General features: G+C 41.5%; 2 protein-coding genes across 22 annotated transcripts in view; both read left to right on the forward strand.

Moving 5' to 3' along the window:
- OCLN (occludin) overlaps positions 1-18,436 on the forward strand; it is a 65,558-nt gene extending 47,122 nt beyond the window's left edge. For all 7 annotated transcript variants that reach the window (NM_001438604.1, NM_002538.4, NM_001410743.1 and 4 more), the window contains 4 exons: positions 5,236-5,451; positions 8,262-8,433; positions 11,876-11,917; positions 13,902-18,436. In NM_001438604.1, coding sequence (NP_001425533.1) covers positions 5,236-5,451; positions 8,262-8,433; positions 11,876-11,917; positions 13,902-14,003 — 532 coding nt within the window. In that variant the 3' untranslated portion in view covers positions 14,004-18,436. The remainder of the gene's footprint in view (positions 1-5,235; positions 5,452-8,261; positions 8,434-11,875; positions 11,918-13,901) is intronic.
- GTF2H2C (GTF2H2 family member C) overlaps positions 20,523-26,574 on the forward strand; it is a 35,031-nt gene continuing 28,979 nt past the window's right edge. For 5 of the 15 annotated variants that reach the window (NR_164749.1, NR_164750.1, XM_011543615.2 and 2 more), the window contains exons 1-3: positions 20,523-20,735; positions 25,432-25,520; positions 26,463-26,540. Coding sequence is in view for 11 of the 15 variants with exons in the window: in XM_011543615.2 (XP_011541917.1) it covers positions 25,465-25,520; positions 26,463-26,540 (134 nt within the window). In the remaining 4 variants the exon portion in view is untranslated. Of the gene's footprint in view, positions 20,934-23,004; positions 23,103-25,431; positions 25,521-26,462; positions 26,541-26,574 lie in introns of all 15 variants that reach the window. The other 10 variants (NM_001375999.1, NM_001376002.1, NM_001376005.1 and 7 more) reach the window with 6 other exon arrangements.

The raw sequence follows: 26,574 nt of genomic DNA on the forward strand, positions 1-26,574 counted from the left end.
ATTCCAGCACTTCGGGAGGCTGAGGTGGGTGGATTGCTTGAGCCTAGGAGTTCGAGAACACCCTGGGCATTATTGCTAAACCCCCTCTCTACAAAAAATATAAAGATTTGCCAGGTATGGTGGCACATGCCTCTAGTCCTAGCTACTTGGGAGGCTGAGGTGGGAGGATTGATTGAGCCCAGGAGGTCAAGCCTGCAGTGAGCCAAGACCGTGCCACTCCACTTCAGTCTGGGTGACAGAGTGAGACCCTGTTTCAAAAAAAAGAAAAAGAAAATATTAGCATACCAAATGTATCATTAGCAATATATTTTATCTTGGATATTGTCCATATCACTATGCAATGAGTTGCCTGATTCTGTTTTATTTTTTTAATTATAATCAAGAAGAAGCACTATTGTGTTTTATAGCTGTATAATATTCTACCAAATAGGTATACTTTATTTATTTTATTATTATTATTTTTTGAGGCAGAGTCTCGCTCCGTTGCCCAGGCTGGAGTACAGTGGCGCGATCTCGGCTCACTGCAACCTCTGCCTCCCAGGTTCAAGTGCCTCCCGAGTAGCCTGCCTTAGCCTCCTGAGTAGCTGGGATTACAGGCACCCACCACCACGCCTGGCTAATTTTTAGTAGAGATGGGGTTTTGTCATGTTGGCCAGGCTGGTCTTGAACTCCTGACCTCAACTGATCTGCCTGCTTTAGCCTCCCAAAGTGTTGGGATTACAGGCATGAGCCACCGCACCTGGCTGGTATACTTAATGTATTAATCCTATATGATGCACACTTTCCCCCAATGTTTTGTTATTACAGACCACAAATGTATAAGGAATAACCTTATACATTTATCACTTTATACATATGTGAATGTATCTGGAGGCAGAATTGCTGAGCTAAAATAAATGTGCATTTTTTCATTTTGATAGATGTAGTAAAAGTTTTATTTCTTAAGGATTGTACTAGTTTCTGCTCCAAACTTATGCCCCAGAATTTTTTTTGAAGGTCTGGAAAGTGCAAACACGATGCTTCATTTTAGAACCCAGATGAATGGGTGAATGGGAGTGGTACTAAGAGATACTAATGCACAATATCTCCCCCAGAGCATGGTAATGATGGAAGGATTTTACAGCCTCTGGGGGGCAATAGAAATTGTAAAGTGTTGTTCATAGTAGAGTACTGAGTGCTATAGAGGATTCAGAGGACACCCACTTGAATGGGAATAAGAACACATAAGTCATAGCCTGTCTTTCCTAAGGCATTCTTGCAAGTGCTTAGTAACCCATGAGCACCTCTCTTCCTCACCATGCTAGTGGATAGAGAAGGAATTAGATGGAGAACATTGTGTCCATCCACCCATCCGTGCCAAGGATGAGGTAAATCAGTATTAAGATGTTTTTTTCTCCCAACGCGTAATGTACATTCCATAAAAAGAGCACTAATCTTGAGTATACAGCTTGATGAGTTTTCCCATCTATGACCACTTAACTCCCACCACCAAGATACATTTTGAGCCCTACATAAGGTCCCCATGTGCCCTTTCTCCATCAATACCCACCCACACCCACCCCAAGGTAACAGCTATTTTGATGTCTGTCACCATCTGTTAGTGAACGTGTTATTATTGGACTTTAAATAAAATGGAATAATGCAGTTTACTCTCATATCTGGTTCCTTTTGCTTATAATGTCCCATACCTTAGAATTTTAAGGCAGTCAGCTCTGAGAATTAATCCTGCATCAGGGGACACCAGAATTTAGCTGAAGATGGTTGCCTCTCCAAACCTACTAAACGAACTTGGGAGAGCCCTATTAGGTACACTCTCCACTATCCTGTCCACACCCAGGTTGAATTACCCTTCATAAATCAAGGAAGTTGAATGTTGCTGCAATGCAAAGCTTTCAAAGAAGGCTGACTCCTTGCATTGCTAAATGAGACCATTGTTTGGTAGTAATAGGCTGGTAGGATGATGTTAGGACTTTTATGCAAGTTAGAGGAGTTATAGAAGCCCAGTTTAAACTAGTTTAAGATGGGGCATGGTGGTTCAGGCTGATAATCCCAGCACTTTGGGAGGCCAATGAGGTGGGAAGATTGCTTGAGGCCAGGAGTTTGAGACCTGCCTGGGCAACATAGGGAGACCCTGTCTCAATTAAAAAAAAAAAAATCATGAAAAAAAATAGCTTAAGTGAAAGGAGGAATTATCTGAGTCACGTGAGGCCCAAGGACGTCTGTAGCTTCAGTCATGGCATAATCGAAGGATTCAGAAGATAGCAGGGCTGTTATGTGCTCTCTTTCATCTGTCGGTATGTTGGCTTTCTTCTCAGTTCAGCTTCTGTTGTGACAGGATAGCCATCTACATTTATTTATTTATTTATTTTTACTTTTTAGAGATAGGGTCTCACTGTTTCACACAGGCTGGAGTCCAGTGGTGTGATCATAGCTCACTGAATCCTCAAATTCCTGCACTCAAGTGATCCTTCTGCCTCAGCCTCCTGAGTAGCTAGTACTACAGGTGCATGCAACCATGCCTGGGTTTTTTTTGTTGTTTTTGGTTTTTTTGAAATGGAGTCTTGCTCTGTCATCCAGGCTGGAATGTGTTGGTGCAATCTTGGCTCATTGCAACCTCTACCTCCCAGGTTCAAGCGATCCTCCCACCTCAGCCTCCTGAGTAGCTGGGATCACAGGCTTGCACCACCATGCTCAGCTAATTTTTGTATTTTTAGTAGAGACAGGGGTTTCAACATGTTGGCCAGATCGGTCTCAAACTCCTAACCTCAAGTGATCCCCCTGCCTCAGCCTCCCAAAGTGCTGGGATTATACAAGTGTGAGCTACCGCACCTGGCCGGCTTGTTCTTTTTATTCTTCAGTCATTTGTTTTATTCTCTCTCACACTCCTTCACGCTGCCTTTATTGCTCCTACCTTGCCCTGACTCTCAGCAGAATTGTTGTGCACTTTCCTCCACCCCTGTTTTGCAGCCTCCGTGAGAACATGGACCTGGTCTTCCCAGGGTCACCTGGCTCAGTACTCTATGCATGTCAGGTGTTCAGGACAATTACTGAATTGAAAACACATGCATAAGAATCCTTCTTTTCTGATTACACACAGCATCAGTGAAGGCAGAGAAACAACCCATGATCAACAATGCCATGACTATTAGAATGACGTTTGTTGTACACACTGTATTTTAGAGCTGCTACCATTATTGGGAGGCATATCTAAGTCTTGCTAATCAGAGAACATTCTCCTGGCTTCAAGGATGACAGTGACCCAAAAAGGGCCAATCAGAATCTTTTTGCTATGTAAGCTTTGGGAAAGAAAACTTCATGCTGGGCTGGAAAGATCAACGCAGCTTGGGAAATGTGGAAGGCTCAGCCTGGGCAACAGAGTGAGACCCTGTCTCTACAAAAAAATTAAAAATTAGCCCAGTGTGGTGTTGCTCACACCTGTAGTCAATACTTTTCTTGTGAAACATTTTGCTTTTAGCTTTCATGCTAGATCAAGTATGTTAATATTTTAAAGGGGTGTAGGAGGAGGGGAGGAAAACTTCGAAGTTAAAGATATATCAATATCTAATATCATAAAAATTCTGGCAGGAGGCCTACTTTGATGTTTTACTTTTTGTTTTTATGTTTTTTTCTAATTTCTTTTGCCCTTTAGTTCCCTCCCTCTTTGGCCCCACCCCTAAAATGAATCCACTGCATTCTAAAGGTTTTGTTTTTCTACCTCAAAGAAGAGGCATAGTACCTGGCAGTTTTGGCAGAGTGTCTAGGAACTTGTTAATCATTGACTCATGGAGAAAGTCACATTTTCTCTCCATTAGAAGTAACATTAGCATAGCACACAAAGCCATATTACCTGAATAATTTTTTTTTTTTTTAGACAGAATCTCATTCTGTTACCCAGGGTGGAGTGCAGTGGTGCGATCTCAGCTCACTGCATTCTCTGCCTCCTGGGTTCAAGCAATTCTTCTGCCTCAGCCTCCCGAGTAGCTGGGATTACAGATGCCTGCCACAGTGCACTAATTTTTGTATTTTTTGTAGAGATGGGGTTTCACCATGTTGGCCAGGCCGATCTTGAACTCCTGGCCTCAAGTGATTCGCCCACCTCGGCCTCCCAAAGTGCTGAGATTACAGGTGTGAGCCACCGCCTCCGGCCATAAATCTTGAAAGAAGAAATAAATACTACCCCCACCTGCATCTACACACACATACCCCAAAGTTTAGAGTCTGCAAGAAATTGTGTGCTTAGAAATCTAAGACTCTGACAACAGTTACAGCAAAGCACATGTGGATCACCTAGAAAAGGGACTAAACCTGGAAGAGCTCAGTATGATAGTTTATGTAAATTGGCAGCAAAAAGAAACGCTTCAGACATTTTAAATAGTTGATTGGAATGGCAAGGCTGATGCTTGGAAAGTCTTAGGCCCATTCTTTGGTGTTTTCATTTCTGTTCTTGCCCTTTTCTACAAGAAAATGAAACTTCGTATTTCTTTTACTCAGAAGTAGTTCCCACTTTCAACTTTGGTATTTTATTCCTCAGTTAGGGTTATTTTCATGTTTGTGTCCGAAACATGCAATTGTGATGCAACTTTAAATAATTGTATTAGAAGAAAATAGTAAGTGTGTAATGGTAACCCTTCTATTCATTCTACGTGGCTTCAGGATTAACAGCAATTTTAAAAAGAATCCTAAAGGAACTCTTTAATTTATTGCAATGTAAAGCTTTTTACTTTTTTAGTTTAGATATTTAGTTTATTTTGCAAGATTTTATCTTAATATGATAATTGATATATGGTAGTATAAGATCAATATTACAAAGAGCATGTGTGCATTCTTCCCCATGCAGCATTCCAGGGAACTAGAAGAGCCTGTAGAAAAGAATGATCACTGTTTTCCTGACAGCCTTTGTAGAGTAAGTCCCTGGCACAGGTCAAGTAAACACCTCTTATAGATCAGCCTGAACTTTTTAAAATGAAATCTGAGATCCATTGTACTTAGAAGGTATAAAAATGGCTACTCCCCTTTAAATTGGAACCTACTACTTGTGTGTATTAGAGGACTCTGAACTGCTGTCAAATTGAATGCAGAAAACGAGGCATCTGCTCAGTGTTGAACATCTGAAGTCCTCGCGTGAGTGCACCTGCGTGCAGATGTCTGCTGGTGTTTATTATGGCTGTGCTCTGTGATTACAGTGCACTGGCAAAGGGCTGTAGTGTACTGAACAATGATGCCTGTTTTTATTAGGGTTCCTGAAGTGGTTCAGGAGCTTCCATTAACTTCGCCTGTGGATGACTTCAGGCAGCCTCGTTACAGCAGCGGTGGTAACTTTGAGACACCTTCAAAAAGAGCACCTGCAAAGGGAAGAGCAGGAAGGTCAAAGAGAACAGAGCAAGATCACTATGAGACAGACTACACAACTGGCGGCGAGTCCTGTGATGAGCTGGAGGAGGACTGGATCAGGTACCGACTCAGCTCTCCTTTCCTGGCCCACGTGCTCCTTCTGATAATTAAAGGAGACCAACCAGGTGTTGGAGTTATTGCCTCCCAAATTGAGGTCACTGGTGTAATTTCATTCTTTGCCAACCAGGACTGGAGACAGTTTTTTGTGTGGTGTTGGCTGGTTTTTTCCTTAGCACCCTTTTGTGACAAAGTTTGAAGTGGAGAGAATGTTTGGCAGTAACCATGTCTTTGAACTTTGGCAGTAACCACTTTGAACTTTCCACAGTGTGGCTGGTGAACTTCACCAGTGCTCTTTCTTATACCAATAGTCACGGAAGAAAGATGTCCTAGCACTTTGGGAGGCTAAGGCTAAGAGTTCAAGACCAGCCAGGCATAGTGGTGTGGGCCTGTAGTTCCAGCTACTCGGGAGGCTGAGGCTGAGGCAGGAGGATTGCTTAAGCCCAGGAGTTCAAGGCTGCAGTGAGCTATAATTGCATCATTGCACCCCAGGCTGGGTGATAGAGCTAGACCCTATCTCAAAAAACAACCAAAGGCCTTTCAAATAAATAAAATCCAGGTATAGAAGAACTTTGTTTTACTAATTATAAAATTCCCAAACCAGTGCTATGGTTTTCCTTTGGCATTACTTTTTTTTTTTGAGACGGAGTCTTGCTCTGTCGCCCAGGCTGGAGTGCAATGGCACGATCTCGGCTCGGTGCAACCTCTGCCTTCCGGGTTCAAGCAATTCCTGCCTCAGCCTACCAAGTAGCTGGGATTACAGGCGCCCACCACCATGCCCGGCTAATTATTGTATTTTTAGTAGAGACGGGTTTCACCATGTTGGCCAGGCTGATCTTGAAAATCCTGACCTCAGATGATCTCCCTGCCTCGGCCTCCCAAAGTGCTGGGATTACAGGAGTGAGCCACCGCGCCTGGCCGGCAATTATTTTTTAAATTAAGCTTAAAATGATAAGACGAGAGTTTCTTTTAAAGTTTAATCCAAAGAGTTCCGTAAACAATTGAGGTAACAATTTAGTGTTCAGCCACAGTTGTGGTTAAGTTTCTTTGTGTTTTGGTGGTTTTGTTACAATCCATCCACCATCACCAAATGTATTTGTGTATGATGTGTAGCCTTCCTATGCCCAAGTATTCTGAGGACTAAGACGCACATCAGAAACATTTGCAATGTGAATGGTAATCAAAACATCGCTTCTCAGAGAGTGAGGAATGATAGGCGGGGCATGGGTAGCTTGAGATCCCCTATTCACTGATGATTCTGATACTTTATCTTCCCCTCTCCCCTCAAGAGTTTTTGGCCTGGCTTAGCCATCTATCTGTAAAATATTCACCTAACTTGTATCACGGAAGATTTAACTGAAAACTTTATATATTTTTTTGAGATAGAGTCTCACTCTGTTGCCCAGGCTGGAGTGCAGTGGCACGATCTTGGCTCACTGCAACCTCCGCCTCCCAGGTTCAAGCAATCCTCCTGCCTCAGCCTCCCGAAGAGCTGGGATTACAGGCATGCGCCACCACACCCGGCTAATTTTTGTAGTTTTAATAGAGACAGGGTTTCACCATGTTGGCTGGGCTGGTCTCAAACTCCTGACCTCAGGTGATCCACCCACCTCGGCCTCCCAAAGTGCTGGGATTACAGGGGTGAGCTACCATGCCCAGCCTGAAAATTTTCAAAATCTGAAATTCTTGTTTCCCTTTTGATCAAATCATTTAAATTTCTCCCCTCTGTAAAATGAAGATGTTAGATTGTTAGATCTAAAATTTGAAATTCCACATCATTGTGAAACTCCAGTCCTGTGAAAGGATTCAGAGTATTTTCTCTATGGATTATGGGTTAATGGCATCGTCTTCCTATGTAAGGAGTGGCTGGTATATTGAGAAATAGATGTGATACAAAATTTCAGTTTTTCTTCTTTATACTTTAATGAATTGCCAGATTATTTTAACAGTGAGCACATGTTTTTATACATGTACATTTTTAATGTCTATTTTTATTGTGAAAGAAGTAGATAAGCTATTTCCACTTCGGAAAAACAAGAGCAAAAAAATAAATAAACCAGTCTGAAAACTATGGGTGGTAGCAGGAAACAGCCACTTCCAGTCAGCTGTGCTGCCACTGTGGTGATCAAAGCGGACTTTGTGTTCCAGAATTCCAGTTTTAAGACTTTAAACAGGCCAGGCATGGTGGCTCACTCCTGTAATCCCAGCACTTTGGGAGGCTGAGGCAGGTGGATCACCTGAGGTCAGGAGTTTGAGACTAGCCTGGCCAACATGGTGAAACCCTGTCTCTACTAAAATACAAAAATTAGCCGGGCGTGGTGGCAGGCACCTGTAATCCCAGCTACTGTGGAGACTGAGGCACGAAAATCGCTTGAACCCGGGAGGTGGAGGTTGCAGTGAGCCGAGATTGTGCCACTGCACTCCATCCTGGGTGACAGAGCAGGCTTTGTCTCAAAAAAAAAAAAAAAAGAAAAGAAAAACTTTATAAACATAAGTAGTCCATTATTGATATTGTGTATGGGAAATAAGTGAGTTCCTATGACTTGTACCTTCAATTTTGTAAATGATTTTCAAAATTATTTCTGCAAATTACGTAGGCATAGTTTTTATTTTTTAAAAAATGAGCAGTAATATATAGTCACTCTTAATAGAACTTATTTGTATTCTCTCTCTCTTTCCCCATAAGAAACAAAAACGAAACAAGAAAATGTCATTCTCCATACCCAACCAGCTTTATTATCTTTGAGGAAGGAGCATTGAATTTTATGTCTGCTAAGGATACATATGTAGTCATTTTCTCTCTCACCTTTTAGGGAATATCCACCTATCACTTCAGATCAACAAAGACAACTGTACAAGAGGAATTTTGACACTGGCCTACAGGAATACAAGAGCTTACAATCAGAACTTGATGAGATCAATAAAGAACTCTCCCGTTTGGATAAAGAATTGGATGACTATAGAGAAGAAAGTGAAGAGTACATGGTAAATTCAACCTGATATTTATATATTAAACAGAATTTGAATCTAATCTGTGGAGGTACAGCATCCTTTATATTAATGTTGATAAAAATGTGCTAGTAGTTATCAAACTGCAGTTTCATTGAAGAATAGTTGAGATTGGGTTTTGGATGAAATTCTTTCCTAATAGAAGATTGTACTAATGTATAATAGTTAATAATTACAAAGCACTATTCTGTTTTTTTTTTTTTTTTGAGGTGGAGTCTCGTTCTGTTGCCCAGGCTGGAGTGCAGTGGCGTGATCTCAGCTCACTGCAAGCTCTGCCTCCCGGGTTCACGCCATTCTCCTGACTCAGCCTCCCAAGTAGCTGGGATTACAGGTGCCTGCCACCACGCCCGGCTAATTTTTTGTATTTTTTTTTTTTAGTAGAGACGGGGTTTCACCATGTTAGCCAGGATGGTCTCGATCTCCTGACCTCGTGATCTGCCCGTCTTAGCCTCCCAAAGTGCTGGGATTACAGGCGTGAGCCACCGCGCCCAGCCCCTACAAAGCACTATTCTATGTACATCTATCCTTTCCTATTTAAAATAAAATAGCCAGGCTGGGCATGGTGGCTCATGGCTATAATCCCCACACTTTGGGAGGCCAAGGCAAGTGGATCACCTGAGGTCAGGAGTTAGAGAATAGCGTGCCTAACATGGTGAAACCCCATCTCTACTAAAAATACAAAAAATAGCAGGGCATGGTGGCAGACACCTGTAATCCCAGCTACTCGGGGAGGCTGAGACAGGAGAATTGCTTGAACCTGGGATGGGGGAGGTTGCAGTGAGCCAAGATTGCGCCATTGCACTCCAGCCTGGGCGACAGAGTGAGACTCCATCTCAAAAATTAATAATAATAATAATAAAATAGCCTTATTATCTTTCCTATTTATAAAGCCATTCATTCTTTCTGTAGAAAAGAACTTAAGCGGCCGGGCACGGTGGCTAATGCCTGTAATCCCAGCACTTTGGGAGGCCGAGGTGGGCGGATCATGAGGTCAGGAGATCGAGACCATCCTGGCTAACACAGTGAAACCCCGTCTCTACTAAAAAAAAAAAAAAAATACAAAAAATTAGCCAGGTATGGTGGCGGGTACTTGTAGTCTCAGCTACTTGGGAGGCTGAGGCAGGAGAATGGTGTGAACCCAGGAGGCGGAGCTTGCAGTGAGCCAAGATCGCGCCACTGCACTCCAGCCTGAGTGACAGAGTGAGACTCCATCTCAAAAAAAAAAAAAAAAAAAAAAAGAACTTAAGTAACACAGAACTGTATACAGAAAAAGAAATCATCTTAAATCCTACCATCAAGAAATCCTTATCACCAAAATATTAGTTAAAACAATCTCTCCAAGCAGGAGTCACCAAGGCACATACACCTTTCTTTAAGGAAACATCATCTTCCATGTTTCACTTATTTTCTTCCTGTCTTTTAAATCAACAGTTTATGGGTTTTTTTTTTCCCTCCCTTGATCACCTGGCTGAGATAGAATTTGTCCATGTAAAGTTACTGGATTTTTTTTTCAATCCATCCTTTTCATACTGTATTTTGTATACATACTGAAATTAATGTAGTTACACCACCTTTTAGAGGGAGATTAATCTCTTCTTGTTTATTTGTTCCTTTATTGATCAGTCAATCACTTACGTAAGTATGGACTTTACAGATACCTGTTTTATACTGTGAATTATAATCCAAGGCTGCTTTATTTTGTAGCTCTAATTGTTCTCGCTTTGACGGTTGGGAACTTTCAGTTGCTTCCCGTGTCCCTTTGACATACTCTTATTGTGGGGTTTTATCTTTAAAAAAAAAACAAACAAAAAAACTTCCTTGCACTGCTTATTTCTGGCTTTTCTTAACAGCAAGTTTTTTTTTTTATATCAATAATAAAGACCTACTTACTTTTAAGTTTTTTATGTGTAAAATTAGGTAAACAACTTTCAAATTTATGGTTGTATCATAATTTAAGAGTCATTTTCTATGGATAGACATTTAAGTATGTCTCCCCCTACTCCAGTAGTACCAGTATATACTGGTGAACCTCTCTGTTTTTGCACTCTTGTCTACTTATCTAATTTTTTTTTTTTTTTTTTTTTGAGACGGAGTCTTGCTCTGTCGCCCAGGCTGGAGTGCAGTGGCGCTATCTTGGCTCACTGCAACCTTCGCCTCCTAGGTTCAAGTGATTCTCCCGCCTCAGCCTCCCGAGTAGCTGGGATTACAGGCATGTGGCACCACACCTGACTAATTTTTGTATTTTTAGTAGAGACGGGGTTTTGCCATGTTGGTCAGGCTAGCCTCGAACTCCTGACCTCAGGTGATCTGCCTGCCTTGGCCTCCCAAAGTGCTGGAATTACGTGTGTGAGCCACAGTGCCCAGCCTGCTTATCTAACTAAAACTAATTCCAGAATGTGAAATTGCTGAGAGTCAGAGGGTACGTACCTTTGCAAAGTTGCAAAATTGCCCTCCAGAGAGACTGCACCAACTGTGTCTCCCTCTTGATACAATACAGGACTCATTTGATGCACATCTCATTAAATATTCTGCCATTTTTCAGTTGAGGTGATCTACTTTTTAGTTTTGACGTATTCACATCTTTATATAGTTAGATTTATGTATTTCTTTTATGGTTTCTATAGGGTGTTATAGATCTTTCTTAATTTAGTGAACATTTATTGATCACTTATTTTTCTTTGATGATGTGGAAATGCTGGAGCTAGAGACATAAAATCTTGTCCCCACCCTAAAAGAGCTTATATTTTAAGAAAAAAAACCTGACATCTAAACAATTTAGACAGTATGATTAATGCTGTATTTGCATCATGTGTAGAAAGCACTATAACTAACTGCTCATAGAAGAAATAAAGTCTTTGGAGGCTTCACAGTGAGGGAATCGTTAAGAGCTTTCCAGACAGAAGGGTGCGGGGAGGTGCATGATTACAGCCATAAGGAAAACATGATTGAAATCCTGAAGCATTTAACATGTCTCAGTTTTTAAAGGAGTTGCTGATGATGGGTACTGAGACTGGAAAGGTAGGAAACTGGATGAGGGGAGAAGTTAATGGGAAGCTCAGACCAGTTGTGTAGTGGGATATTACCTGATCAGCGAGCGCTCTGTGTTATAAAAGATCTTCCTGGTGTCAATGTAGCATGGGGACTGGCATGAGGAGAGATGAGAAGTAGCAGAACAGATAGTTACCTGCCTATGTGAGTGAAATGTGAAAGATACAGTATCATAAATGTCTCTTCACTGAATTCCTTCAGACCTTCCTGCTGATCATGAGTTTTAAGAGCTTTACGACTTCATTCTTTTAATTGCTTATATTTTTGTCATAAGCTGTCATTTTTAGCTCCAAAGTATAACATCAGGAATGTTACTTTTAAAAGAGAAAATGCCCCAGTAAACATATTCCTTTGTGTCTGTCGTTAATAGGCTGCTGCTGATGAATACAATAGACTGAAGCAAGTGAAGGGAGTAAGTATCCGAGATTGTTCTTTTAGGAAGAACTTTCTTTCTTCTTCTTTTTATTTTAATTCCCATACCTACTCATCTGGAGGAAGAGCTTTTCTATTACATGTTTTTCATTTTTTATTTTATATATTTTTTAAAAGTTGAAGTATACATACAGAAAAGTGTATAAATCAAAGTGTATAACATGGTGAATTTTCACAATGTGACCACATACCTGCGTATGCAGATCAAGAAATATATTTCCCAGTACCTCCCCACCCCCAGCACCCCCACCCTCACTTGTACTACTTTCCAGTGTTTACACTCTCTCCAGAGGGGTCCATCATGCTCACTTCTAACATCATAGAGTTTTGTCTATCTTGCACATTACATAAATGGAACCACACAGTATGTATTTTGTGTGTGATTTCTTTTGCTCAGTATAGTGTTTGTAAGGGTCCATTTGTAGTTCATTACTATTATTTTTTTTAGACGGAGTCTTGCTCTGTTGCCCAGGATGGAGTGCAGTGGCGCAGTCTCAGCTCACTGCAACTTCCGCCTCCCAGGTTCAAGCAATTCTCCTGCCTCAGCCTAGCTGGGATTGCAAGCACGCACCACCATGCCTGGCTAATTTTTGTATTTTTAGTAAAGACATGGTTTCACCACATTGGCCAGGCTGGTCTTGAACTCCCAACCTCAGGTGATCCCCCTGCCTTGGCCTCACAAAGTGCTGGGATTACATGCATGAGCCACCATGCCCGGCCATGGTTCATTAATTTTTTTTTTTTTCCTGAGACAGTGTCTCGCTCTGTCGCCCAGGCTGGAGTGCAGTGGCACAATCTCGGCTCACTGCAACCTCTGCCTCCTGGGTTCAAGCAATTCTCCTGCCTCAGCCTCCCGAGCCACTGGGATTACAGGCAAGCACCACCACACCTGGCTAATTTTCCTATTTTTAGTAGAGATGGGGTTTTACCATGTTGGCCAGGCAGGTCTCAAATTCCTGGCCTCAAGTGATCCACCTGCCTCCGCCTCCGAAAGTGCTGGGATTACAGGCGTGAGCCACCACGCCTGGCCGGTTGATTAATTTTTATTGCTTTGTAGTGTTGTATATAAAATGCAACTTTATTCATCCATTCTATTGTCAATGAACGTTTGGGTTGTTCCCAATTTTTGGCATTTAAAAATATTGCAGCTTCATACATATTTGTAAATGTTTGAGCGTAGAAGTGATGGGCATTTGTCTATCCAGCCTTAGTAGATACTGTCAAATGGCCTTCCAAAGTACTTGTACCAGTTTACATTCCCACCAACCACTACAGACTCCTGTTGCCCTATATCCTTGCTAACACTTGGCATGACAGTCATTATTGACTTAAAACATTAAAAAAAAATTATATTAAAATTTTTGTAAATTACTTATCCAGGTGCTGTGGTTACATGCCTGTAGTCCTAGCTACTAGGGAGACTGAGGCAAAAGGATCCCTTGAACCCAGGAGTTCAAAGCTGCAGGGAGCTATAATTGTACCACTTCACTCCAGCCTGGGCAATAGGATGAGACCCTTTCTAAAATAAGAAAAAAAAATTATAAATTACAGGCATCATGATTTGAAATAAGAGTTTAAAGGGTATACAGTAAAATTTCCCATCTCTCTTATCCCCTATTCAGCTTCCCTTTCCCCAGTCAAATGAGATCACCAGTCTCTTGTTTTACTTACAGTTTTAGATGATGTGTTAGCAAAAAGGCTGGTAAGTTTTCTTGGTCATTTTACAGATTTTTAGAAATGAGGGTATCCTTTGGAAAAACCCAGGTTAGAAGACAGAACTGAGCAAATAGAATCAGCTGCCTGTGTGGTTAGTGATACTGCCAGGCACCTTGCGTATTTTACTTCAATTAACACTCCCAGCAATTCTCTTGACTAAATATTCCATTTCTGTGTTCAATTCTGCCTTCCCAGCAGACCTGTTTTCATTTTGTTGAATTTATGTGATTCATTTTCTCCCTTTTTAGTCTGCAGATTACAAAAGTAAGAAGAATCATTGCAAGCAGTTAAAGAGCAAATTGTCACACATCAAGAAGATGGTTGGAGACTATGATAGACAGAAAACATAGAAGGCTGATGCCAAGTTGTTTGAGAAATTAAGTATCTGACATCTCTGCAATCTTCTCAGAAGGCAAATGACTTTGGACCATAACCCCGGAAGCCAAACCTCTGTGAGCATCACAAAGTTTTGGTTGCTTTAACATCATCAGTATTGAAGCATTTTATAAATCGCTTTTGATAATCAACTGGGCTGAACACTCCAATTAAGGATTTTATGCTTTAAACATTGGTTCTTGTATTAAGAATGAAATACTGTTTGAGGTTTTTAAGCCTTAAAGGAAGGTTCTGGTGTGAACTAAACTTTCACACCCCAGACGATGTCTTCATACCTACATGTATTTGTTTGCATAGGTGATCTCATTTAATCCTCTCAACCACCTTTCAGATAACTGTTATTTATAATCACTTTTTTCCACATAAGGAAACTGGGTTCCTGCAATGAAGTCTCTGAAGTGAAACTGCTTGTTTCCTAGCACACACTTTTGGTTAAGTCTGTTTTATGACTTCATTAATAATAAATTCCCTGGCCTTTCATATTTTAGCTACTATATATGTGATGATCTACCAGCCTCCCTATTTTTTTTCTGTTATATAAATGGTTAAAAGAGGTTTTTCTTAAATAATAAAGATCATGTAAAAGTAACAAATGTGTGAAATTTAAAGATTGTAAATATATATTTACTTTTTTAAGATCAAAGTTTAAACCCCGTGGTTAGAATTTTGTGTGTTTTTAAATACTTTTTATCTTTTTGCATGCCTTTTTTAAAAAACCAACTAGAACTTTTCATTATATCAGAATATCTGATTACATTTATAATTCAATTGTGACTTGAACTGTATCTTACAGGAATGTTCAATTTCTATACATATTTTATAAGGTATTAAACCTGGTGTTTTCTTTCCATAATAACCTGTTTGATGTTATTAGTGCTGTTAACATACAGCAATGGAAAACCACACTCAGGAGTTGTATCTGTTGTTGTTTATACTCCTTTGGATGCTGTGCTGGTTAGTCGTTTCCCATTCCTTTGGCTGTAAGAATGCTGATATGTCTGGGAATAGAATGCTATACCACGAAATACCAAATAATTTCAAATGGTGCCCTTAAATTGTATCACTTTTTTAAAAATTCAGATTCTTATTAGTAAAATTAGTTGATAGCACTGTGCTGACCAAGTTGATTGTGATCATCCCAGCTTAGACTTTTCTAAAAACTTTTTTTTAGAATAATCTATAAACTGAACTTTAGTATGCATTTCAGATATTTAGGTATATAATTTTTTTTTTTTTTTGAGACAGAGTCTCACTCTCACCCAGGCTGGAATGCAGTGGTGCTATCTTGGCTCACTGCAACCTCCACCTCCCGGGTTCAAGCAATTCTCCTGCCTCAGCCTCTCGAGTAGTTGAGACTACAGGTGCCCATCACCATGCGTGGCTAATTTTTGTATTTTTAATAGAGACGGGGTTTTACCATAGTGGCCAGGTTGGTCTTGAACTCCTGACCTTGTGGTCTGCCTGCCTCGGCCTCCCAAAGTGCTGGGATTACAGGCGTGAGCCACCATGCCTGGCCTAAGTGTGTGTGTGTGTGTGTGTGTGTATTTTTTTTTTTTTTTTTTTGAGATGGAGTTTTGCTCTTGTTGAACAGGCTGGAGTGCAATGTCGCGATCTCAGCTCACCACAACCTCCGCCTCCCAGGTTCAAACAATTCTCCTGCCTCGGCCTCCCGAGTAGCTGGGATTACAGGCATGCGCCACCACACCTGGCTAATTTTTTTTTTGTATTTTTAGTAGAGATGGGGTTTCTCCATGTTGGTCAGGCTGGTCTCGAACTCCTGACCTCAGGTGATCCATCCACCTCGGCCTCCCAAAGTGCTGGGATTAGAGGCGTGAGCCACTGTGCCCGGCCTATAATTTTTGATAGATGATTTTGAATTATTTTCCAGAGATAAAATTTTAAATGTTTCCATTATATCACTGATTTATTTCTGCAAATTGAATAAATTCTTAATTTTCTGCATGCACATAATACAAAAGGTATTTTCATAGTTTTGGATTTATACCAAATGAAAAGGATTCTCTTGATGAGCACCTTTAACTGATTTTTCTGTTAAAGTTTTAACAATTTGTTCTTGGAAGTCAGTTCGTGAAGGCAAGTTTGTCAGTATTTTCACAAAACTATTCAGCTGAATCCAGAAAGTGAAACAGCAAGAATTTGCATTGTAAAATTGTGTTATAAAATTGGACTTTGAAATTTCAAAAATAAGAAAAATTTTCATGTGTATTTATACTAAATACCGTTTTAGGAAACTAGGATCAGGGTGTTTCTGTTGGCGTTGGCATTAACTAGCTGGATGTAAATTTGAAAAGCCACTCAAGCAGCTTCCTAGTCTAGAAAGTCAGAGGTTTAGATTAGATTTCCGACATCCCTTCCATTTCTGACCTGTAGTTCTTGTCTGGAATTCTGCTTTGTTATAAACTATTGTTCTAAGGAGTTTGTTGTGATAGCACATAGTTCATTTTGTAAAGATTCCCTGCGTATAAAGTGATGCCCTACATATGTGATTTTGTATTAAAAGTATATAGGATCATTATTTTATTTTGAAAAATTTAAATACAGAAAAGTATAAAATATAAGTACCATCCGCCCAGAAATAACATGTGTTAATGTTTTGTCATATGTGCTTTATATTTTTTGAAATAAAGTGAAGTCAACTAGTATTTATAGTAAATAAGTTACATACACATAAGTACATATATGATATTTAATCCTCACAACGATCTTTTGACATGTGACCATTTCTTATTCTTCTTTTATAGACAAGGAACTAATGATATGATAGATTAACTGGCTGTTGTCACACTAGCAAGTGGCAAAACAAGGGATTAGGATCTTAGTCTCTTCAACTGTTAGATTCTATACTTCCATCCTGTGTTGACTTTGTTAATGGATTGGATAATGTGAGATCACTCTGATGTAAATAAAGTATCCTATATTAATTTCGAGTGCATTTTAAGTACTTGTAACATAAATGCTTCCTGTGAAATATCTGTAAAGACCTGAATGGGTACATGTGTGTAAAGAAGAATCAGGGCAGAAAAGTGCTTTTATCATGGCTCCGGGGACCTTAGCTTCAGTTGGTGTTGTGAGAATTCCTCACACAAGGACATTCTCCTTGCTTCAGCATCAGGATGGAAGTGTTTCTCATCTGGACTTTTTCAAAGACTCAGCTGGAGGAATCAGAATTCATAATTTCCTGGCAGCTCATGATTCTGCTACACTACACCATGCCATCTCTTGTGTGAAAGGACAGATTTGATGGAGGACTATGTCATCCCTCATGCGTTTCTTATTGTCTACATTTATTCTAATGGGAAGAAGTGAGCAAAAACACCTCAATAATTTGGGTAGTTTTTAGAAAACCTTGTTAGTAAATTAGAATAGTGCCACTTTGGCATTATGAGAAAGAAGCATGGATACATAACTAGGGTTTTGTGTATGACTACAACGAAATGCAGAATGGTGTCTCCAAAAGGTTTCCAATTGCTGCCACAAGAACTGCTTGGTATTGCCTACATGTGTTGTCCTATTTTTGCTTTGCCCTTCTGCAGTTACTTGCTGTGGGACCTTGGAGAAATTAACTTAGCCTCTCTGTACTTCAGTTTTTTGTATTTGTAAAATATATTTGTAATAATCTCATAGTTAAGAAGGTAGTTAATGTGTGACTCAGTCCTTGTCTAAAAGTAAATATGCCTAGCTACCCCCATCTTCCAAAGCCAGAAGGTGAAACTTTAACAAGTTTTCTAAAAGCAAATTGTGTTTTTTAAAAGTGCATGTGTCATCCAATCCCATATGATTGATCTGTGCTGGGTGCAGCCTTAGAATGTAAATTCTTTTGAATTCTAGGCAGAGAATGCAGGATTGGCATTCTAAATATTTGTACATGATAAACAAATGCTTCTTTAGGTTAGAGCAAATAGTTTACTTATCAAGATCACAATTGTTAGATACTGTTGTCAATTACAGAGGTTTTAGATGAGGCTTTCTGGAATGATTTAGTTTCCCTGTAAGGGAGCCTGTCTATTGGAATAGACAGGTTCACTTCTCCCAGTCTTTCAAGTTGCATGCTTTTTATATCTGATTCCACTGGCTGAGCTGATTGTGAATGTCCTAACCCTGTTGATTGTGTCTGGCCACTCATGGGCAAAGAACAGATTATCCATTCTTTATAGTTGTCTTTTAGTTTTACAAGTTGAAAAAACATCTGAGTAGGTTAGATAATTTATTCTACCACTTTGTAAATGATTAGAATATGTCAGTCATAATCATGCCAAGAGATTATGGATTTATGCATATTTTGTTTTGCTGTAGTACCATTCCTAGTTGAATCTTAACATCCATGTCTAAAATCTATACAGAACAAATATTACAGTTGGGAAAACTGTTTCAGTCTCCTCTCTTCGCAAATATGCTTTATATTTATTGGGGAGTCCTCTATCTTTTTCCTGGTTTTCCTTAAAGCCTTCCCAGGCTGATGGATAACAAACATATGCAAGAAACTTGGGGCTTGGGATTCCTCTAGGCTGTTTGTCCTAGAGGAATGCATCCCGTCTTGCAAATAGGATGGTCAATTAAGATGGAAGGAAGCAAAAGTGTGGATAGGAAGGAAGGGCACAAAAGGAAAAGTGTGGAATTTGTGTGTGAGTCCTCTAATGAGGTCAAAGGTGGGAGGGAGGCAAGCATGGAAGCTTCCTGGCACTGCGATACTAATTTCCCCTCCTCTCCCTTTTAAAATCCTGTCTTCTGGGAGGAAATGAGACTGATTATGGAGTTCCCACTAAGCCCTGCAGGGTTGGTGGAGACAACCCCATTTTACACATTAGTTCATAGACTTGGGTTGTGACTTGCTTGAGGTCACCCAGCCAGTGTGTCAGAGCCTGATTTTAAATCCAGGGCTGTTCTTTCCACTGCTATGCAAGATACCTTCTGTTTATATTTTTGAGGGAGACAACAGAGATGGGAAAAATTTTTAACAATAAAATAAAGGCAATGGAGGGGATGAGTATGCTGATGGGGAAGGAAAGAGGCCCTAGCTTCTGCAGTTCCTTTGTGTTATTCCTAACCCTTTTCTCATCTGGGGGTGCACTGCCTCTCCATTTCTCAAGTATGGGAAATGCCAGTAATTCCACTTGTGTTAATTGGCAGTCATACAACTTGTCCAAAACTGAATTGATCTTACCCACCCCGCCAACATTTTAATAATTGCAACCCCAACCTTTCAGTTGCTCAGCTAAAGACTATGGAGGTATCCTTGATTCTTTTCTCATAACACACATCCAGTGTATTGGTAAGATTTAGAATTCAGTCACTTCTCACCAGCTGCTGGTCCAAGCCATCACAATTCCCCCAAAGTTCTTAACAGTGCTCACAGCCTCTCCTCCCCACCTTACCCTTCTGATTGCAGCTTCCACCACTCATCCCCTGCTCACTCCTGCAGTCGTCAAAGACCCCAATGCACTTCTACCTCAGGGCCTTTGCACTTGCAGCTCTCTTTGTCTGAAGAGCTTTTCCCCTAGGTATCAGCAGGGTTAACACCCTTCCTCATTCAGGTCATGGCTTAACTGTCTTCCCAGCGAGGACTCCTCTGGCCACCCTATTTTATTTTTTGAGATGAAGTCTCTGTCACCCAGGCTGGAGTGCAAGGTTGGCTCACTGCAACCTGTGCCTCCTGGATTCAAGCGATTCTCCTGCCTCAGCCTCCCGAGTAGCTGGGATTACAGGCGCCTGCCAGCACGCCCGGCTAATGTTTTTGTATTTTTAGTAGAGACGGAATTCACTATGTTGGCCAGGCTGGTCTCGAAGTCCTGCCCTCCGATGATCCACCCCCGCTCGGCCTCCCAAATCACCATGCCTGGGATTACAGGCGTGAACCATCGCACCCGGCCTGGCCACCCTATTTTAAACTGCAAACTTCTCCCCTTCAGTGCTTAGTTTTTCTCCACAGCATTATCACCATTTCATATAGTATATGTTTTTCTTCATACTGACTCCCCTTGGAGAAGGAAAACTCCACGAGAGCAAGGATTTTTGTCAGTTTTTCATTGTTATTTCCTCAGTGCTTAGACATGCATCAGGCTCAAAGTAGATGCTCAATGTTTGTTGAATGAACAGCAAGAGCAATGGAGGAGTCCTGAAATACACAGCAAGAAGCAAGGATAATTCTGGCTTTACTTCTGTGGCCAGGGTCCTTCATCCCAACCTTTTAGAAGTAGAAAGACAAGATCGAGCTCCTCAGAACCCAGGTCGATGGCTGCAGAGCCTTCGACCTTCCGAGAGCGAATGGCGATCACTCTTTCCGGTTCTCTGCGAATTCCAGCTGGAACACCGTCCCTTTCCGCGCCCCAACTCAGCGGAGGCCATGCCCTGCACCTGAGCGCCCCGCTCCGGCAGCTGCACTCTGCAGCATCCGGAACGTTTCGGCGTGGCCGCAGGGCGCGGCGGAATGACTTCCGGGGCGCCCCTAAAGCGGCGGAGAGGAGTGTCGGGCTGAGTTTCCGGCTGAGAGTCCTTCTAGCGGCGCCGGTGAGTCCGCGTGTGGAAGTCTGTGAGGCGCAGAGGTGGGGCAGGCCGTCTGACTAGCTAGGCGGCTGGGAGCGTTTTCGTGGCGGGGAACGGAGGTTGAATTGCCCTGCCTGGGCTCATAGGGAAGGAGGATGTGAAGGAGCTTGTGAAGGCAGAGGAAGGTAACTTTCGTCTGGGGAGCCGCAGAGTAGGGAGGGAAGCTGCAGGCCGTCTCTCCCTAAGTAAAAGCGCGACTTTTAGAAATGATGGTTCAGGGTTCGAGTTTGTGACCCGCTTGAGAAAGTGACCAACCTCTGAGCCTGAATCCCATACCTGAAAAACAAGGACAGTAATCACCCTTGCCAGTTTCACATAGCTTGGTAAGGTGTGAAGAAAAGCTTCTTAAATTGGGATGTTTGGTGCTCTCATTTGTTGGCAGATAGCATTCCGAGCTCATGTAACGGGAATCACACCAGTAGGCTTATGCTGAGGAACGTGGATTGTTTGGGGTTGGATTCCAGGAAACAGATCACTTAAAAAAATTTTTTTTTCTTCGAGACGGAGTCTCGCCCTGTCGCCAGGCTGGAGTGCAGCGGCGCGATCTCGGCTCACTGCAACCTCCACCTCCCGGGTTCAAGCGATTCTCCTTCCTCAGCCTCCCGAGTAGCTGGAACTACAGGCGCGTGCCACCACGCCCAGCTAATTTTTGTATTTTCAGTAGAGACGGGGTTTCACCATGTTGGCTAGGATGGTCTTGATTTCTTGACCTCGTGATCCTCCCGCCTCGGCCTCCCACAGTGCTGGGATTACAGGTGTGAGCCACCCACCTGGCCTCGGTGATATTTTTAAGAAGAAAATGGACTGTTGGGAAGTGACAGGCCATTGGAGATCTTTACAAAGTCCATCTTCAGGATGCATGAATCCTTTAAACAGCATGCATGTTTACAATCAGACTTCCCATTGAACGTCTGCAGTTTTAGGGACCTTAATACCTCCTGTCCAGTCGGATTTCCCATTGCAGGCAGCTCTAATTAAGAAGTCCTTTTAGCCGGGCGTGGTGACTCATGCCTGTAATCCCAACACTTTGGAGGACCGAGGTGGGCGGACCAGTTGTGGTCAGGAATTCGAGACCAGGCCTGGCCAACAGGCTGGTGAAACCCCGTCTCTACTAAAAATAAAAAGGTTAGCTGTGGTGGCGTGTGCCTTAATCTCAGCTATTCGGGAGACAGAAGAGACAGTAGAATCGCTTGAACCCTGGAGGCGGAGGTTGCAGTGAGCCGAGATTGCGTCACTGCACTCCAAGCTTGGGCGACAGAGCAAGACTCTTGTCTCAGAAAAAAAAGAAAAAAAAGAATTCCTTTGATATGGTCAGCCAAAAGTCTCTCAGTTGCTATTTACTTTTATATTTATAATATTTATTATATATTTGTAATTATTTTATTTATTTTGAGATAGGGTCTCACTCTGTCACCCAGTCTGGAGTGCAGTAGTGAACATAGTAGCCTCGACTCTCCTGGGCTCAAGCCATCCTCCCACTTTTGCTTCCCAAGTAGCTGGGACTCAAGTACTCGCCACCTCGCCCAGCTAATTTTTTGATGTTTTGTAGAGACAAGGTTATTGCCCAGGCTGATCTGAGCGCCTGAACTCAAGCAATCCTTTTGCCTTGGCCTCTCAAAGTGCTGGGATTACAGGTTTGAGCCACTGTGCCCTGCGAAGAATTTGAGTTTAAAAACGTTGAGAACGTTATGCGAGTTTTTCATTTTTAAAGTTCACAATACGTAACAGAAAACAGGGAGGAGCAAAATGTTCAGTTGAGGCTGGGTGTGGTGACTCACGCCTGTAATCCCAGCACTTTGGGAGGCCGAGGTGAGTGGGTCACCTGAGGTCAGGAGTTCGAGACCAGCCTGGCCACCATGGCAAAACCCCATTTCTACTAAAAACACAAAAGTTAGCCAGGTGTGGTGGTGGGCTCTTGTAATCCCAGCTACTCGGGAGGCTGAGGCAGGAGGATCACTTGAACTCGGAGGCGGAGGTTGCAGTGAGCCGAGATCGCGCCATTGCACTCCAGCCTGGGTGGTGAGTGAAACTCCGCCTTAAAACAAAAAAAGAAACAAAAATATTCTGTTTACAGGCAGATCACTTGAGGTCAGGAGTTTGAGATCAGCCTGGCAAGTCAGGCGAAACCCTGGCTCTACAAAAATATAAAACATGGCAAAACCCTGACTGTACTAAAAATACAAAAATTAGCTGGGCATGGTGGCACGCGCCTGCAATCCCAGCTCCTTGGGAGGCTGAGACAGGAGAATCACTTGAACCCGGGAGGTGGAGGTTGCAGTGAGCCACGAGGTGGTGGAGTTGGGAGGGAGATTGCATTGGGGAGGATGGAGGTGTGATGAGGACATTTATTTGTGCATGAATGAATGAATGACAGAGTCTCGCTCTCTCACCCAGGCTGGAGTGCAGTGGCACAACCTTGGCTCGCTCCAGTGTCTACCTCCCAGGTTCAAGTGATTCTCCTGCCTCAGCCTCCCGAGTAGCTGGGATTACAGGTGTGCACCACTAGGCCCTGCTGATTTTTGTATTTCTAGTGGAGACGGCATTTCACTATGTTGGCCAGCCTGGTCTTGAACTCCTGACCTGAAATGATCTGCTGGCCTCGGCCTCCCAAAGTGCTGGGATTACAGGATGAGCCACCGTGCCCGTTTCTCTCTCTCTCTTTCTTTCCTTTCTTTTCTTTCTTTTTTGAGGCAGGGTCTCATTCTGTTGCCCAGGCTGGAGTGCAGTGACCTGATCTCGGCTCACTGCAGCCTCCGTGCCTCCTGGGTTCAAGCAGTCCTCTTGTCTCAGCCTCCCCAGTAGCTGGGATTACAGGGGCCCGCTCCCACCAACCTCCTAGCTAATTTTCAAACTCCTGACCTCAAGTGATCACCTGCTTTAGTCTCCCAAAGTGCTAGAATTACAGATGTCAGCCATCATACCCGGCCTGGTTTTTTTTTTTTTTTTTTTTTTTTGAGACGGAGTCTTGCTCTGTCACCCAGGCTGGAGTGAAGTGGTGTGACCTTGGCTCATTGCAGCTTCTGCCCTCCAGGTTCAAGGAATTCTCCTGCCTCAGCCTCCCTAGTAGCTGGGATTACAGGCACCTGCCACCATGCCCAACTAATTTATGTATTTTTAGTAGAGACGGGTGTTGCCATGTTGGCCTGACTGGTCTCGAACTCCTGACCTCAGGTGATCCGCACCTTGTCCTCTCAAAAGTGCAGGGATTACAGGGATGGAGCCACTGCACCTGGCCCTGGCCTGTGTTTGTTTGTTTTGTTTTGTTTTCAACTTTTATTTTCACAGAGTACGTGTGCATGTTGGTTACATGGATAAATTGCTTGTTGTTGAGGTTTGGTATACAAATGATCCCGTCACCCTGGTAGTAAACATAGTACCTGATAGGCAGTTTTTCAACCCTCACTCTTTCCCATCCTTCCCTGTCTAATAGTCTCCAATGTCTGTTGTTCTCATCGTTATGTCCACGTGTACTCAGTGTTTAGTTTCCACTCGTAAATGAGAACATGCCGTCTTTGGTTTTCTGTTGCTGTTTTTTTTAGGCCAGAGTGCAGTGGCACGATCTCGGCTCACTGCAACCTCTCTGCCTTCCGGGTTCAAGCAATTCTCCTGCCTCAGCCTCCTGAGTAGATGGGATTACAGGTGCTCGCCACCACATCTGGCTAATTTTTTTCTATTTTTAGTAGAGACAGGGTTTCACCATGTTGGCCAGGCTGGTTTCAAACTCCTGACCTCAGGTGATCCACTTGCCTTGGCCTCCCAAGTGCTAGGATTACAGGCGTGAGCCATTGCGTTGGGCCTCTGTTCGTGTTAATTCGATGAGGATAATGGCCTCCAGCTGTATCCATGTTGCTGCAAAAGACAGGATTTCATTGTGTTTTTTTTTCGTTGTTTTTTTGGCTGCTAGTATTCCATGATATATTACGTACCACATTTTCTTTATCCAGTCCACCATTTATGAGCATCTAAGTTGATGTGATGTCTTTGCTATTTTGGATAGTGCTGTGATTAATATGAGTGCTCTTGTACTTTTGGTAGAATGGTTTTATTTTCCTTTGGGTTTATACCCAGTATTGGGATTGTTGGATCGACATACATGTGTCCAATAAATGTATGAAAAAATGTTCAACATCACTGATCATTAGAGAAATGCAAACCAAAACCACAATGTAAATCAAAACCACAAACCCATCTCACCACCAGTTAGAATGGATATTATTAAAAAGTCAAAAAATAACAGATGTTGGCAAGGTTGTGAAGAAAAGGGAATGCTTATCCACTGTTGGTAGGAATGTAAATTAGTTCAGCCACTATGGAAAGCAGTTTGGAGATGTCTCAAAGAACTATGTTTAATTTTGTGTCCTTTTTTTTTGAATTATGAGCTATAGCATTTACCCATTTATAAATAATAAATGTGATTTAAAAACTTTTGATTATGAGAAAATTGAGACATACACAGAGAGATAGTACAATGAATCACATGTCACTCAGCTATAATAGTTCAACTACGCCCATACTGACTCCTCACAAGTCTACAGTTTGTCATGTGACACATCTATAAAGCATTTTTGTTCTTTTACAAATTGTAAAAAGACACTTATTTTTATTGGTACCAAGTTTGTGTATAAGTTCATATTATTTCTTGGAAATGAGAAATGGAGTTCTATGAAGATTTTTAAGACAATTATTGAGTAAAATACAAAGAATAAGATGACCTGGCATTCCATTTTTTTTACTTTATATATGTGTCTAATTTTCAAATTTAATTGGATGAATTTTGTAACAAACATCTTTAGATAACTTACATTCTAATGGTTTTTACAGATTATTGAATAATAAAATACAGTTTTGAAAAAAATGGATGAAGAACCTGAAAGAACTAAGCGATGGGAAGGAGGCTATGAAAGAACATGGTAAGGAGAGCTTTATTGCCCTGTCTTTTCTTTTAGACAATGTCTTTTTTTTTCTTTACAACTTTATTAAAGTATATTTTACATATGTTAAAATTCACCCATTTCCAATGTACAATTCAGTGATGTTTTATTAATAATTTACTGAGCTGTGCAGCCATTATCATAAACCAGTTTTAGAATATTGTAACCACTCCAGTAAGATCCTTCACATTCATTTACAATTAATTTAAATCTTAATTTAATTCCACCTGTGGGCAATCATTAGTCTACTTTTTGTCTCCAAATTTTAACCTTTTCTGGACATTTCACAAAAATGTGATCATATACAATCATGTGCCACATAATGATGTTTTGGTCAAAGACAGACTGCATATATGACAATGGTCCCATAATATTATAATACTGTATTTTTACTCTACCTTTTCTATGTATGTTTAGATATACAAATACTGAACATTGTGTTACAGTTGTCTTAAGATATTCAGTATAGTAACGTGCTGTACAGGTTTGTAACCTAGGCGTGGGATAGGCTATACCATCTAGGTTTGTGTAAGTATACCCTGTGATATTCACACAATAATGAAATTGCCTAACAATGCATTTCTCAGAATGTATCCCTGTCAGTAAGCGATGCATGACTATAATAGTTGGTCTGTTGTGGCTGGCTTTCACTTATTTTTAAGACTCATCCATGTTGCAGTGTGTATTAATACTTCATTCCTTTTTTATTGCTGAATAGTATTCCCATCTATGGTTATGCCACATTATTGTTTATCCATTCACTAGTCTGTGGATATTTAGGTTCTTTACAGTTTTTGACTGTTAGGAAAATGCAGCCATGAACACTTACATGCAAATCTTTGTGTGGACATATATTTTCATTTCATTTGGGCTAGTAATCATTTTAGCTTGTCTTTTCAAACAAATAATTATGACTTATAGGGAGATTCTTAAAGAAGATGAATCTGGATCACTTAAAGCTACAATAGAAGACATTCTATTCAAGGCAAAGAGAAAAAGGTATGTAACCTTCCTACGTATCTTAAAAAGGTAA

The sequence above is a fragment of the Homo sapiens genome, chromosome 5 (genome assembly GCF_000001405.40).
Source record: "Homo sapiens chromosome 5, GRCh38.p14 Primary Assembly".
NCBI lineage: Eukaryota > Metazoa > Chordata > Mammalia > Primates > Hominidae > Homo > Homo sapiens.